Below are 15,164 nucleotides of genomic sequence, written 5' to 3' on the forward strand. Positions count from 1 at the left end.
CTCAGTTTTCAAACTTGAGCCAATTTTCTAACGTGGAGTCCATTGACTGAAAAGAAGTCTGGATCTTTGGGAGAGGACTTTACTATATTACAGCAAACATGCACAGCAATGATTCGGCCAATCTGTCCCTAGAGGGACCTAAGGCCACTTGCTTGGGTAACCACATGCAAGAGGAAGGGGCATGGCAGCTAGCTCCCAAGATCAGCTCCTAGCTCACCTCCTAGTCTTCATGCCTCTGTGTGGTCCTCTTGCATGTTGAATGGGGCCAACCTGTAACAAATCGGACATTGCACAAATGATGGAGTGTGACTTCTGAAGCTAAGGCATAAATACACTGTGGCTTCTGCTTTGCTCTTAAACATCACTGCATTTGGCAGACGCCAACTGCCATTTCATAAGGACACTCAAACCAACCTTTGGAGAGGTTCAAGTAGCAAGGAACTAAGGCTTCCTGGGAACAGCTCCTGTGAACAACAGCCATGCATCATAGAACTGGATCTTCCAGTTCCAATCAAGCTTTCAGTTGACTGTAGCTCCAACCCACATCTTTTTTTTTTTTTCTTTTTTTGAGTGGAGTCTTGCCCTGTCGCCAGACTGCAGTGCAGTGGAGCGATCTTGGCTCACTGCAACCTCCGCCTCCCGAGTTCAAGCGATTCCCCAGCCTCAGCCTCCCAAGTAGCTAGGACTGTAGTGGTGGCAAGACTCCTGGAAGAGACACACACAAAAACTATTTTTTTTATATTTTAATAGAGACGGGGTTTCACCATGTTGGCCAGGATGGTCTAGATCTCCTGACCTCATGATTCGCCTGCCTCGGCCTCCCAAAGTGCTGGGATTACAGGCATGAGCCACCACGCCCGGCCTCCAGCCCACATCTTGACTGCAACCTTGTGAAAGATCTTATGCCATAACCTCACAGGTCAGCCACTCCCAAATTCCAGACCCACAGAAACTCTGTGAGATAATACATGTTTATTGCTGTTTTAAGCTACTAAATTTTAGTGTAATTTGTTACACCGTAATAAATAAATAATATAGGGACCAGACACTTCAATGACTATCTAGGTCTGAATTGATACCCAGAGAATTAAAGCCTCATTGTAGACTCCCTGTTAGGGTGGGGGCCGATAGGTACAAGATGATTAATTAAGTCTAGGCCTAGGTCAAGCCACAGTGCGTCCACTGTCTCCATGGACTTAGGTGGTGGTTGTTTCCACAGTTGCGAAGTGTACAATTGGAATGGACACACTTGGTACCTGCCATAACTGCTGCATTATTTGGCCTGTGAGGTAAGAGATGTTGTAACAGAAGGCTGAGTGGAATGCCCTAAAACTGAAAGACAATTCTGCATCCCAAGAGTGTTAGAGATGAGTGTCAGCCTTAAGGACTTAGAAGACGCAGGTGTGATGGCCCCAGCCCATCTCTATTTAATTCACCAGCCTGGCCCCTGCAGAAACCACTGGATTCTGGATAATGATAGTGCACTACTGCAAACTCCATCAGAAGGAGCCCAGATTGCAGCTGCTGGGCTTGGCATGGTACTTTTTTTTTTTTTTTGAGACAGAGTCTTGCTCTGTCGCCCAGGCTGGAGTGCAGTGGCATGATCTTGGCTTACTGCAACCTCCGCCTCCTGAGTTCAAGCAATTCTCTGCCTCAGCCTCCCGAGTAGCTGGGATTATAGGCACCCACCACCATGCCTGGCTAATTTTTGTATTTTTAGTAGAGATGGGGTTTCACCATCTTGGCCAGGCTGGGCTTGAACTTCTGACCTTGTGATCCACCCACCTCGGCCTCCCAAAGTGCTGGGATTTCAGGCGTGAGCCACTGTGCCCAGCCTGGCCTGGTATGGTATTTTTTACTAAAACAGATGAATGTAGCCTTTAGGGGATGATATGTGGCCATTGTTCTGGTGAATGCGTTATTTTCCATCACTCTTGAAAGGAAAAAAACTGTTTGCATTCCCTTGACCAGACAATCGTATGTATTTAGTCTTCCCTCAGGTGGTGCTAACTCTCCTACCCTCTGTCATGTGTGATATATAGTCTGAAGAGAACTGGACCTCCTGGACATCCTGCAGAACGGCACCCTGGTCCACTGTATCATGCCTCATGTCAATCAGATATCAGATGGGTGAGCAAGATGCAGCAAGTGTACTGAAGGCCTTGGAAAGACACATGGGCTTCAGATCATGGGAGACAAACCCTAAGTTTCAGAGGCCCATCACATCAGTTGTAGAAGTCTGGTGTTCCAAGGCGCACTGGGGATAAATGTAAAGGATAAATTATTGCATCTCACACCTCCCACCATGAAGAAGGAAGCACAGTGCTGGTAGGTCCCATCGTTTCTGGAGGCGGCATATTCCATATCTGGGAATACTCTTCCTACCCATAGACTGGATTACATGGAAGGCTGCCTCCTGTAAGTAAGGCCCAGAGGAGGGCTCTGGAGTAGATCCAGGCTGCAGTGCAAACAGCCCTTCTGCTTGGGCTGAACAATCCAGCATGCCTTAGGTTACTAGTGATCTCAGAGGTAGGGAAAGGCCACCATGTTCAGTTTACAGAAAGTTCCACTGGGGAATCATGAAGGACTCCTAGGGCTCCGGAGCAACGCCATGCCATCTACAGTAGAAAATTTTACACTCTTCATTAAAGAGCTCCTGGTGTGCTGCTGCTGGACCACGGTAGAGATGAAGCAGCTGGACATGGGACACCAAGTGACCATATGCACCTCCAGAGGTGCCCCGCACAGGCTCATCAGGTTCTAAGGCTAGGTGGGCCCTGCAGTATCCAAGGCAAGACAGAAGTTCTGCATCCATGATCAAATATATCAGCAGGGCCTGAAGGCCCAAGCCAGCTACACTGGCAGCTAGCTCAGAATTCCAGAGCCCCCACCACTGTTGCACCAAGGGTACTCCCTCAACTCACACCTATGGCCACATTTGGAAGGGGAAATCCTTATGATCCACAGATGGAGGAAGAAAAAGTGAGCTTGGATCTTGGATGGCAAATGTGGACAAAAATGGACAGTGACTGCCCTACAGCTGTACTCAGGATGGGCCAGAAAGGCAACATCAAGGGGAAACCCTGATGGGTGGAGCTTCATTGGTGCACCAGGTCATCTACTTGGTTTAGATAAAGAATACGTATCTTCCCCCTTCCCTCCCTCCTTCCCTCCCTCCCTCCCTGCCTTGTTTCCCCTTCCTTTCTTCCTTCCTTCCCTTCTCCTCCTCCTTCTTCTTGTTCATCATCTACTGATCAATGTGTCTATTGATCTATTTTCTATTAATCACCTATCTAGGTGTCATCTATCTCTCTATCTCTTTATCCGTATCTACTAATTATCTATCATCCATTGGTCATTCATTATGTATCTGTCATGTATCATCCTTCTATCTATTGAATCTATCATCTGTTTCTATCAATCATCTATTTATCTATCATCTATTTATTGGTCTGTCTCTTTACTAATTATCTATTATTTGTTGGGCACAGTGACTCATGCCTGTAATCCCAGCACTTTGGGAGGCTGAGGAGGGAGGATGGCTTGAACTCAGCAGTTTGAGACCAGCCTGAGCAACATGGCGAAACCCCGCCTCTGCAAAAAAAAAACACACAAAAAATTAGCCGGGTGTCGTGGTGCATGCCGATAGTCCCAGCTGTTTGGGAGGCTGAGATGGGAGGATCACTTGAGCCCAGGAGATAGAGGCTGCTACAGTGAGCCGTGATGGCACCACTGCACTCTAGCCTGGGCAACAGAGCGAGACCCTAGCTAAAAAATCTATTATCTATCTATCTATCTATCTATCTATCTATCTATCTATCTATCATCTATCTATCTATCATCACTATCTTTCTACACACATGGACTCATTGGCAGTAGCAAATGGCTTGGGCAGTTGATCAGGGGCCTGGAAGGAGGGAAACTGGAAGGTGAGGGTTGAGGAGCAGGCCTAGAATAGTGGCACGCTCTGCATGGCAGTGGGCCCAAAGCCTGCAGATGTGTGTATCACATGCTAATGCTCAGCAGAAAGCCTCCGCCACGGAATGAAAAAGCCCCGGACAAACTGGTCTTTTGACCCATTCACTCTTTGCTTTATTTTAAATGTATCGTTTTCAGATTTATGTCCCAGACACTTTTCGCTCTGATGTAAGAATGCCGTGCTAAGAACAATAACCAAAATAGCTTCTATTTTCGTAGCATATGCCCATAATTTGCCTCATTTTACCCTGGCAGCAGTCCTGGGACTTAGGAATGACAGGGAGAAGTTCTTCCTTTCCAGATGGAGAAAGCGGATGCTTAGAGACAGTAAGAGCCCTGCCCAGGGCCACGGAGGCAGCTCTGGCCTCCGGTCCTGCATTCTCTTCCCGGTTTCTTGGGCCCCTCTGGGCTGCGGAGGGAAAGCAGAGCCGAGTTGACCAGCAGGGGGCGCCGGCCTCTTTTTGTCTACATCTGTCCACCTGGCTGTGCCAGGCAGGCTTCTGCAATCAGCACGCGTGCCCAGTTCTGTGACTGGTGAGTGGGCTCAGTTCCAGGGTGCCCTCCGCCTCACTGCATCTCCACCTGCTGGCCACACCGTAGACCATGCTCTGTTGTATGTGCTCACTTCTAAGTATCCCCAGACCCCTCGCTGCTGCAGGCTCTACTCAATCCCTACTAAGAAATGGACAGGAGTCAGCACCCAGCGAAAGGCTGTAAATAAGCCTCAGCGCTAACAATAACCTTTCCCTCCCTGCCATAATACAAATGTGGAGCTTGTCATCGAGGCTCCTCTTTGAGGCATGAATATTGATCTTTTGCCATATGTCTTTATGATGTGTGCTTTCTCCAGCAGGACCCGGTTTTGTTGCGTTTCTCCTTTCTGCCTTCTCATTTATTATGGTCGTCTGCTTCTGCAACGAGACTCCCTGTGAATTACAAATTTAGTCAACCACAATGAATTTGTGTTGAGCACTCCCCAGGAGCCAGGCACCATGCATAGTGGACTTAACCAAAGTCCCAGCCCTCATGGAGCAGACATTCTAGGGAAGGAGCCAGACAAAAAGCAAAACAAAGAGGGAAATGATGTAATTTGTCAGATGGCAATAAGTGCTGTGAAGGAAAATAAAGCAGGGAAGGGGATAAGGAGGTGGGGTGCAGGGGAGTGGGGCGTAGCCCAGGGGAAATTTGCATCAGAGAGAAAAGGTCAGAGAAAAGGCCCACAGAGAAGGTGACATTTGAGCAAAGACCGGAAGATGATGAGGAAGCCAGCTCTACAGATATTTCTTGGAATAATATTCCAAAAAAGTAAAAAGAGCCCACTGGGGGAGTGGGTCCCACACACAGGTCAGTGTGGCTGGAGGGCAGTGAATAGGAGGAAGTGAGATCAGAGACATGATGGGATGAGGGAAGAGAGATGAGCCCTGCAGGGTGGGATGCAGATTGTGCTGGGCCTGGCAGGGCCATAGGGATGATGTTGGTGTCAGTGTACGATGGGAAGCCACTTTCAAATGAGACATGCATACAAGGGGGAATGGTCCAGATCAGTATGTGTGATGGCCTCTTCCTATAGAATATTTAAAGTTCCATTCCTTCTCAATAGCCTCTATCAGGGATTTACAGGAAGAGACCACACATCAAGACGTCCTAAAGCCCTGGGCCCATCTGTAGTTGGGAGGTGGCAGGTACATTTTTCTTACTGAAATAGCCATTACATTCATCTTTTGGAGACCGATGGAGGTACAACTGTGATGAGTCCTGTGAGAAGCCATCAGCATCTTGTTTGAAGAATGCACCTTTTTCTTCTTGAATATCAGCTCAGTGGCTGCTGGGAAGCAGCTGCCGGAGGTTGGCCTGGTGTCACCATCCGTACACCATCATGCTGCAGTGCCACAACCACACAAAGCTCAGCAACTCCTTCCTCTCCCACATGGACAGATCAAGAGTTGAGATGAAGCTCCGCATTGCCATTGCTGCACATGTACAGTGTACCAGGCATGCATAGGTGTTGGGATACAAAGTCCCTCGCTTCATGGACATTAAATGAGAGAGAGAGAGAGAGAGAGAGAGAGAGAGAGAGAATAAACACATAAACAAGTGAATGCACATTCTTCTGTTAGCTAATGATGAATGACATGAAAAGTTGAGTGTGGTAGTTAGCGACCCTGGGACAGTCTGCCTGATTTCTGATTTTCTGATTGAGAGAGCAGAGCCCTGAATGAAGCAAGAAACTTCAGCAATGTTGAAGAAGTGTGTCATGAACTGAATGTTTGCATCCCCCTGGCCCAAGTTCATACATTGCAGCTGTGACCTCTGATGTGATGGTATTTGCAGGTGAGACCTTCGGAAGGCATTTAGGCTTAATAGAGAGCATGAAAGTGGGACCCTCATGATCCGATTGGTGTCCTTATAAGAAAAAGAAGAGACCAGGGCTGTGTGTCTTTCTGCCATGAGAGCACGTGGCGAGAGCACTCGTCTGTCAGCCGGGAGGACAGCCTTCATCAGGAACTGAATCTGCTAGCACTTTCGTTCTGGACTTCTCAGTCTCCATCATCACGTGAGTCAATTTCTCAGTCTCCATCATCATGTGAGTCAATTCCTTAGAGTAAATCTCTATATATGTATATCTGCTGGAACCTAAATCTTGGATTCCTCAGAACAATAAGAAAGAAATGTCTGGTGTTTAAACCGCCCAGTCTAGGTGTTTTGTTATGGCAGTCTGAGCAGACAAAGACACAGAGGTAAAGCCTTTGAAGCAGGGAAGAGCTTGGTGTCTGGCTCCCAGGAGGTGACAGTGAAGAGGTGGGCAGGGCCATATCATGACAAAGCGCTTGGGGAATCTTTTCTGCAGGGGTCTGTTGAACAGCTTTCGAGTGCAGGGAAGTGATATGATCTGATTCCCATTTTTTTTTTTTTTTGAGATGGAGTCTTGCTCTGTCGCCCAGGCTAGAGTGCAATGGCATGATCTTGGCTCACTGCAACCTCTGCCTCCAGGGTTCAAGCGATTCTCCCTGCCTCAGCCTCCCGAGTAGCTGGGATTACAGGTGCCTGCCACCACGCCCGGCTAATTTTTGTATTTTTAGTAGAGATGGGGTTCCGCCATGTTGGCCAGGCTGGTCTTGAACTCCTGACCTCAGGTGATCTTCCCCCTTGGCCTCCTTAAGTGCTGGGATTACTGATTCCCATTTTGAAGAACTGGTTTTGGCTTTGGCGTGGAAGCAAAGGATGCCACTTAGGAAGTGAGAGAAAGGGTCACAGGCGGGTATAGGATTTGCTGATGGGTTGGATATGAGAATCGAGAAGCAGAGGAAGCAAAGGATGACTGCTAAATTTTGGGGTGAATTTGGGTGAAGCCTTAGGAAAGAAGCACAGAGGGGTGTGTGTGGGTGTGTGTGTGTGTGTGTGTGTGTGTGTGTGTGTGTATCCCAAGTTAAATGTGAGTGAGATCCTATCAGACAGCCCGGCAGAGTTGAAGAGGGTTGACATAGGACTCTGGTTTCAGGGAAGAGATCCAACCTGGAGATTATGCTTTTGGATTCATCATTTACCAGGGCAATTGTGCTGGTGGACCTCTGGGGCATTCTTGAGTGACTTCTCTTAGTTTATGATGATGATAGTCGTATTGATGGAAGGTGTGAAAGCCAAAATTCACCTTGTACTTATAATGTGCCAGGCACTGATCTGAGTGCTTTGTGTGCACAATCTGATTGACTCCACACAATTCCTTAATATCCCATTTTTGCAGCTTAAGGAAACTGAAGCATCAAAAGGTAAGTGTCACGACTCATTTTTAGAGAAGCATTTCATTGTGGGGATGCTGGCAGTAGCCTACTCTGCAATAGCACACTGGGCTGCCTTTGCACACGAGTCTTTATGCCTGAGGAACCCTTTCTTCCTCAGCCATTGCATTGTGCACGTTCAACAGCTGGGTGTTGTGAAAGAATAATGCTGGACACGAACTCTGGGGACACGGGTTCAAGTCCAGTCTGTTATTTATGGGACACTTTGTTTTGGGAACATGAACATATAGAGTTCACAGGATGTCTTCCAGGCAAAGTTGATCCATGTCTGCCGTCTTTGCTTTGCCATCCGTTCCTTCTCCAGTTACCAGACGGCTTCTGCCAGCCTAACCCCTTCTAGCCAACTCTCATTTCCTGGCTGTGCCAGCCTGATTACTTCTAATTGTCTTTGACTGCTTCCAGCTGGGTCTAGAAGCTGGCGTTCTGTGGGAGCACAGAGGCAGTCTCCCAGCCATATGGGGCGAGGAGATGGGGAAGGAAAAGGGAAGGAAGGAAGCAGCTGGTACGAGTCAACTGAGAAAGCTTCCCAAGGCTTCACAGCCCACTGGGATTGCTCCTGTTTCTGAAAGGGTTAACTCATCCAAGTTAGAGAATGATCCATCTTCGACAAGACAAACAATTATATTTGTTGATCCCCAAAGGCAACCAACAATGCACCTAAAAATGCTTTTAGAAAGTCACTGGTAACTTGTCTCCCCCAGGACTTGATGGGGTCTTGCTCTCAGGAGCAGTAAAACCCCACTTGAGAATCAGTGAATGATTACTTTCATTCATTTATTCAACAGATATTTACTGAACAATGATCATGTCTCAGACACCGTGCTAGGTACTGTAGGGCAAATAATGAAATTAGACACAGCTCCTGTCCTCAATAAGTCTAAAAGAGAAGAAAGTCATAGATAATAAGTACTACAGGACATAAGAGGAATGTGAAATGACTATATGAACTAAGAGACAACAGAGGGAGATGGGCTTCTTGCAGCTTATTGGTTGGGGAGGTCTTCATGGGAAAGGGAACACCTGTGCTAGGTGGAAATGAGTCGGAGACAGCAGACTGGGGGCGGGCAAGGCACAGGCAAAGGTGTGGCAGTAGGGAGGCCGGATCCCGGCCAGCACCACCCCCTACCCGGGAACTCCGCAGGAGGATAAGGCTAGAAATTAGTTTGGGCTAATTAGCAGAGAATTTTCAAGGCTGCATTACTGTTGCATTGAATAATCAGATGCTTTCTGCACACTGAATATGAGGGCAATATATTGTGTACTAATTTGTTTTACATAAAGACATTTCTGGGGTGATTTCTTGTTAAACAGGCCATTTCAGAGACTAGGACTTGTAGTTCCAAAACCAGTTACAAAGGGGACGCACGGATAGGATTTGGACTTCTCTTTGGCATCCATCCCAGCTTATGGAATTAGCAGTGAACTTGAATCAAACCCAGGCAGCAGGCTTGAAAAAGATTTAATGGGCCTGGATTTTCTCTCTTCTTCACCCCTTTCCTGACCTCTACCCTGAGAGGATAATTAAAAGGAAAGAAAATCTCTATTTCATTGTAAATGTCATCCACCATTTTTATGAAACTTTTTTTTTTTAGACCATAAAAATACTTTGGGGAACAGTCTCAGAAATTTCCCTTAAACCTTAATAAATAAATCTCTAAATTTTCATAAAGAGTGCATGTCCTAACATTAAAAAAAATCATACTCTATTAACACAACATTGGGTGGACTCCCAAACTGTTTCTGATGGAAGATTCAGAGTGGTTTTTTTTTTTTTTTTTTTGAGAAGGAGTCTTGCTCTGTCGCCCAGGCTGGAGTGCAGTGGCAAGATTTCAGCTCACTGCAACTTTCGCCTCCTGGATTCAAGCAATTCTCTGCCTCAGCCTCCCGAGTAGCTGGGATTACAGGCGCCCGCCACCACGCCCGGCTAATTTTTGTATTTCTAGTAGAGACAGGGTTTCACCATCTTGACCAGGCTGGTCTTGAACTCCTGACCTCGTGATCTACCTGCCTCGGCCTCCCAAAGTGCTAGGATTACAGGCGTGAGCCACCGCGCCCGGCCTCAGAGTGGTTTTTACCCCAAAGTGAGCTCCATATTCCTCATTCTTTAGACAGTTGCTGGACATCTATTCTGCTGGCACCACGCTAGTTACCATTCCCCTCCCATGCAACTGTCCTGTTAAGATTTGATTACTGAATTAGAGACATTAAAAGGATTGAATGAACGTTACTGAAATAGTCAAGGCCGGTGGGAGCAAAGAAGTCCCTTCAGCACAGCAAGAAAAACATTTTAAGCTGTATCTTTAATATTGGTAAACGGGAACAATGAGACAGAACAACAGAAAACGCAGTATGTTCCGTCATAATAACTGAGGCTGGTGACTTGTAACAGGTAGGTGGATGAATATAGTAGCGTATTTAAAATTAGATGTATTGAAAGCAGGCATTTCTCTGCGTCCCTCTTCAGATGGGTCAGCGAGACCCCCAGACACTGGATTGATGACAGCTGTTGTTCCCCCACCCCCCACTCCCAATCTCAAAGCATTGCTATGGGTCGATGTCATACTTGTTTACTCAGGAATAAACAATGAAAGGAACTTTGTTAGGACCAAATCCTTCCTTTCAGCTCTGATGTTGCATGATCGGGGTGAAGTTTCCATCAAATGCGGGCACCTCAACAGGTAGCATTTTGTAAATGCCTCCTCCTACCTACCCTCCTCCTTCTCCCTCACAAGATTCTTCATTTTCGGTTTGAGAAGACGTTGGGGATCCTGGGAGAGGGTCCAGTGTCGTCAGGGCAGTTGCAATTGTTTATGCGATGAGCACAGTCACAGCGCTTGCAGAACAAAAGCATCGAAGAGAGGCGAGCGCCGGTCCACCTCCTGCAATCACAGGCATCATTTCAATGGAAGGCAAAGAAGGTGTAAGCTACAAGCAGAGGCAGCAAACGCCCTGGTTCCTACATTGCTGCTGCTACTATTACTGCTGTGGCTGCGCCTCCTCCAACACAGCCAACCAGGCTGCGTGCGAGCCCGGGCAGACGCCTGGCCGCCTCCCCACCCTTTCTTCCAGCCATCCATCTATCCTTCCACCCCCGGTCCAGGGGGCCCTACTGTGTGGCGGACTCAGGGCCGGGCACGCAACCCGACTCACAGTCCACGGAGTTCGAGAGCCTTCCCCCTTCCCCCCGCCCCGGGTGGGTGCGGCCAGTGGGGGATTTCACCGCCGAAAGGTCCAGAAAACCCAAGCCCAGAATCCGGGCAAGAGGCGCAGCCGGAGGCGGCCCGACCTGGGCGGCCCGGGAGCGCGCGCCTCCGAGGCCGCGCAGGTTCTCCCTGTCTGGCGCTCAGGTGGCTTCTCCGTCCACTCCGCCGCTCCCCTCCCCGGGCCCTCCCCTCTCCAGCGAGGGTCGAGTTTGACTGTGGCGCGCGGGGAAGGAGGGGCTACTAGGGATTTGAAAGTGCACGGGCTGCGGAGTGGAGCTCGCATCTGTTCCCGCCGCCCGCGAGCGGATTAAATTTCTGCAAATTCAAACTGAATGGGGCTTTCTTCTGCTGCCTTCCAGAGGGCGCCGGCAGCCCGCCGCGCGCTTCTCTCCGGCGGGAGCGGCCGCCCAGCGCACGGCTAGGAGCGATCGCGGGAGCCCGACCCAAGCCCGTGCGGGCCAGACGGCGGCGGCGAGGCGGAGGCTGCGGAGGCACCCGGGCTCCCGGACCCAGGCACCCGGACCCCGGGACCCAGGCGCCGCCGGACCGCGCCCCACCCCGCGCGCCCGAGCAGGGCGACTGTCATTAGCTTCCTGGACGGGACCCGGGGCGGGATCCTGGTGTCCTGAAAGGGGCCCGGGCGACCCTAAGAGGAAGAACTTTTGGGGGCGGGGTCCCCGGTCCCGCGTCCCCTGGGCAGCCGCTATTGTCTACGCGCCTCGCTGGGCGGCGCGGGGGGCGTGATCGCGGCGGCCCCGGGCTCTGGGTGCGGAGACCCAGGCGGGGCTGGGCCCAGGGCGGCGGCGGGAGAAGCCGGGGAAGCCGAAGAGCCTGGGGAGGAGGAGCTGCGAGCGCGGGAGACGAGCAGGAGCCGCGCGGGCCGCGGCGAGCGCGATGCCGGCGGCGGCGGGGGACGGGCTCCTGGGGGAGCCGGCGGCGCCTGGGGGCGGCGGCGGCGCGGAGGACGCGGCCAGGCCCGCGGCGGCCTGCGAGGGAAGTTTCCTGCCTGCCTGGGTGAGCGGCGTGCCCCGCGAGCGGCTCCGCGACTTCCAGCACCACAAGCGCGTGGGCAACTACCTCATCGGCAGCAGGAAGCTGGGCGAGGGCTCCTTTGCCAAGGTGCGCGAGGGGCTGCACGTGCTGACCGGGGAGAAGGTGAGTCTCCCGGGCGCCGTGGGGCTGGGGCACAGGGGCGGGAGTCGGCGGCCAGGACCCCGCGGGGAGCACTGCACTGGGAGTCCCAGTGTGCAGTCCCGGGCCAAGCGCCTTCCCCCTCCGCCCGGCTTTCCTGTTGGGTTAAAACGCGCGCTCAGCATCTCGCAGCCTTTCCCGAAGGCGGCCTGCGGTCCGCTGCCCGGGGGTTGGGGGCTTGGGAGGGGACGGCCTTGCCCCGGGAAGCGTCCCGCGCGGCCGTTCTGCTCGTGGAAGGGCGCCGCCTGGCGACACTAGCGCGGGGGGCGGGATGGGGCCCCTCTGCCCTTCAGGCCGGCAGGGGCGGCGGATCCGTGGCGAGGCGGGAACCAGGGCTAGAGGAGGTGGGCTCTTATGTCGGGGGGCGGGGGGGGCAGGAAAGCTAACAGCCAGCCTCTGGGGGGAGCTTAGAGTCTGATCCCCGTCCTGGGCTCTCGGAGGAGGTGGGAGAAGGCTGAGATCCTGCATTCCTTCCCACCTGTGGGCTCCGGCAGCTAGGGAATGTTTTTTGGCAGCTAGGGAATTTTTCGTGCTCAGAGGAGGGTTTTTGCCTCCGCCCTCCACTTGTCCATCCCTCAACCTGTGCTCCTCTCTATCCACTCAACCCTCCCACCCCTGCCCCCTCATCACCCACCATTCTCATCCCCGCCATTCTCATCCCCTTCTCTCCGTTCCCCCAGCTCCTCTGTGCCCTCCAGCCTCAGGGTGGGAGCTGCAGTGAAGACCCTGCTACTGGCAGGAACAGAACTACAGATACCTCCCCCCAGAGACTGGGAGATGCCTTCTTATCTTTCTAGAAGAGGGGAAAGGAAAGGGGACCTCCGCGAGACCAAAAGGGGCACCTCTCCAGCCTTGTTGGAAGTTAGATGGTTGTGAACCCTTGCCAGGCGAGGGGCAGGTAAGATGGAAGGTGTAACTTAGAGCTGTGAGAAGAAACCCAAGAGCTTGGTGACTCGCTTTTGAGGCCGGGTCACCCCAGGCTGGAGCTGCCCGAGCTCAGAGCCAATCCAGGCTGGAGCTGTCCCAAGCTCCTGTCATCTCGGGCTCAAGACTGCCCCCAGGCTGGGGGTGGCTCAAACCTGGAGGGGGACCAGCTCCTTTGTGTGGTCCGTGGGTCAGGGAGGCGTCAGCCGCAAGGAGGGAAGGCGGAGTTCACTTCCCAACCGAGCAGGTGGCCTGGGAGCCGAGCCCTCTGCCTTCCGACCTGGGGGCCTCTGCCCAGCCTGGGGCTGCCCTGTGAAACCCCTGGTCACAGGGCCAACCTGCCCTTCCTGCCTGTCTCTAGCCTCACCCCACCTGTAGTTCCCTCCCCACCCCATTTCCCCTCTTTGTCTTGGAGCCTTTTGCCTGTGAATGCAGGTCTCCGTCACCCTTGTCATTTTCCCTGTGTTCCCTACAGCCGTTTTGAGTGAGGCACCGCTTTATTATGGGTATGTGGGGATAGAGTGAGTAGTTTTTAGAAGTGCCTCCTGCCTGAATTCCCATGCAAAAAAGGAGCGTTCAGTATGAACTTGAGTAAGTCTTCAAAGAAAAAGGAAAAACCTCCAAACCTCGTTCTAGTCCGCAGGAGCGAGGCACACTTACACTCCTCGATTCGATTCGATTCGATTCGTAGTGAGCTGTCTGACTTCCACACTGCGGGTCCGTTCAGGGCGCGAGGATGCGGCTAATTAGAGTGAGCTCTCTTCTCCTGGCCCTGTGTAAATTCCTGTTGGCACTGGCGATGGAAGTTTATTTTCATTGGAAACGTATAGGATTCAGGCTGGTTGTGCATATTTCCTCTCTAAACATAACGGAAAGAAGCGAGTCTTTATGCTCACAACGTCATGGCAAACACTGCAAGTACATTCTTCTCGCCTGCCCTGGTGCACAGACTTCTTTTCTGGCTTCCCTCCACCTTGCTGTGTTGTGCTGTGCCTCTGGCTCTGTAGCAGCGCATTTTTGCACCATAAAACTCTTGGCTTTGGCTGAACTGCCTGGGGGTGGATTCAGAGCTCAGCCAGCGCTTGGGTTCTGGAGCTCTGTGCTGGGCCCACTGGGAACCCCGACATGCAGGGAATTCTTGCCCAAATAGGATTCACATGAAGAGACTCGCTGCTTCCCCAGGTGCCCACTCCCCTTCCCTCCCATCTTATGTTTCTTAAATGATGAATCTCACTTCATTGTTGCAATGACAGGAGATGTTAATTGGATGTAAAATTATTCCCCTGGACCCATTGGTGGACTGCGGGTAAGGATGGTGGTTCTTTGGGTGGAGAAGGAGGCAGGGGAGAGATGTCTGTGTTGAAAAACTTGGTTTTCCCGGGATGCTCCTCCCCAGCGGGGAGAATCAGTGCTCCAGGGATTGCGGGCATTGGGAGAAATCTGGATTTTAGTTCACTCAATTGCTGGCTTTAAAGAAACAATGGTGTCATTCATAACATTTATCTCCCAAATCCAGCACCTTTAATGCTTAACTAATAGATTTGGGTTTTAGCAGATTGTGGGGATTAAAATGGTTGTGTGTGTATGCTTGACTCTGAGAAAGATTGCTAAATTAAAATGAGTCCTCATTCCCACTCTAGTTTTGGGTATTGCCTAACTAAGGCCAAAACAAAGATGACCACAGCCTCAGGCTATTTACAACCTGAAGTTCTTTTAAAAGGTGAGCTACTAAGATGATTTTGGCCTGGGGAAAGTTTCCTCCAGTGAGCAGAGCTGAGGAAAAGGAGGTCATTAAGCCTCCAGTGTCCCCCACTGTGGGTGACCCAGGGAGGCCTCTCTCCCTCATTAATTCCTCTTTTCTTGGGGTGTGTACATTTTGGATTTAGAATTTCACTTTTCTCCTGTCCTATCTATTTATTTTTTAAATTTTTTATAAAGACAGGGGTCTCACTGTGTTGCTCAGGCTGGTCTCCAACTCCTGGCCTCAAGTGATCCTCCCACCTTGGCCTCCCAAAGTGCTACAATTACAGATGTGAGCCACTGCACCTGGCCCATCCTTTTATAAAGGATC

General features: G+C 51.1%; 1 protein-coding gene across 2 annotated transcripts in view, besides 3 other annotated features; it reads left to right on the forward strand.

Moving 5' to 3' along the window:
* Positions 4,479 to 4,618: a silencer, noted in NCBI's record as "silent region_13245". NCBI's record gives its function as "represses an Ori minimal core promoter by ATAC-STARR-seq in GM12878 lymphoblastoid cells {active_cell/tissue: GM12878}" and the evidence as "EXISTENCE:reporter gene assay evidence [ECO:0000049][PMID:35858748]".
* Positions 11,218 to 15,164, forward strand: part of HUNK (hormonally up-regulated Neu-associated kinase) — a 131,045-nt gene continuing 127,098 nt past the window's right edge. For both annotated transcript variants that reach the window (NM_014586.2, XM_011529537.3), the window contains exon 1: positions 11,218 to 12,133. In NM_014586.2, the coding sequence (NP_055401.1) occupies positions 11,873 to 12,133 (261 nt within the window). In that variant the 5' untranslated portion in view covers positions 11,218 to 11,872. The remainder of the gene's footprint in view (positions 12,134 to 15,164) is intronic.
* Positions 11,336 to 11,385: a silencer, noted in NCBI's record as "silent region_13246". NCBI's record gives its function as "represses an Ori minimal core promoter by ATAC-STARR-seq in GM12878 lymphoblastoid cells {active_cell/tissue: GM12878}" and the evidence as "EXISTENCE:reporter gene assay evidence [ECO:0000049][PMID:35858748]".
* Positions 12,312 to 12,491: a silencer, noted in NCBI's record as "silent region_13247". NCBI's record gives its function as "represses an Ori minimal core promoter by ATAC-STARR-seq in GM12878 lymphoblastoid cells {active_cell/tissue: GM12878}" and the evidence as "EXISTENCE:reporter gene assay evidence [ECO:0000049][PMID:35858748]".

Source organism: Homo sapiens, chromosome 21 (genome assembly GCF_000001405.40).
Source record: "Homo sapiens chromosome 21, GRCh38.p14 Primary Assembly".
Taxonomy (NCBI): Eukaryota; Metazoa; Chordata; class Mammalia; order Primates; family Hominidae; genus Homo; species Homo sapiens.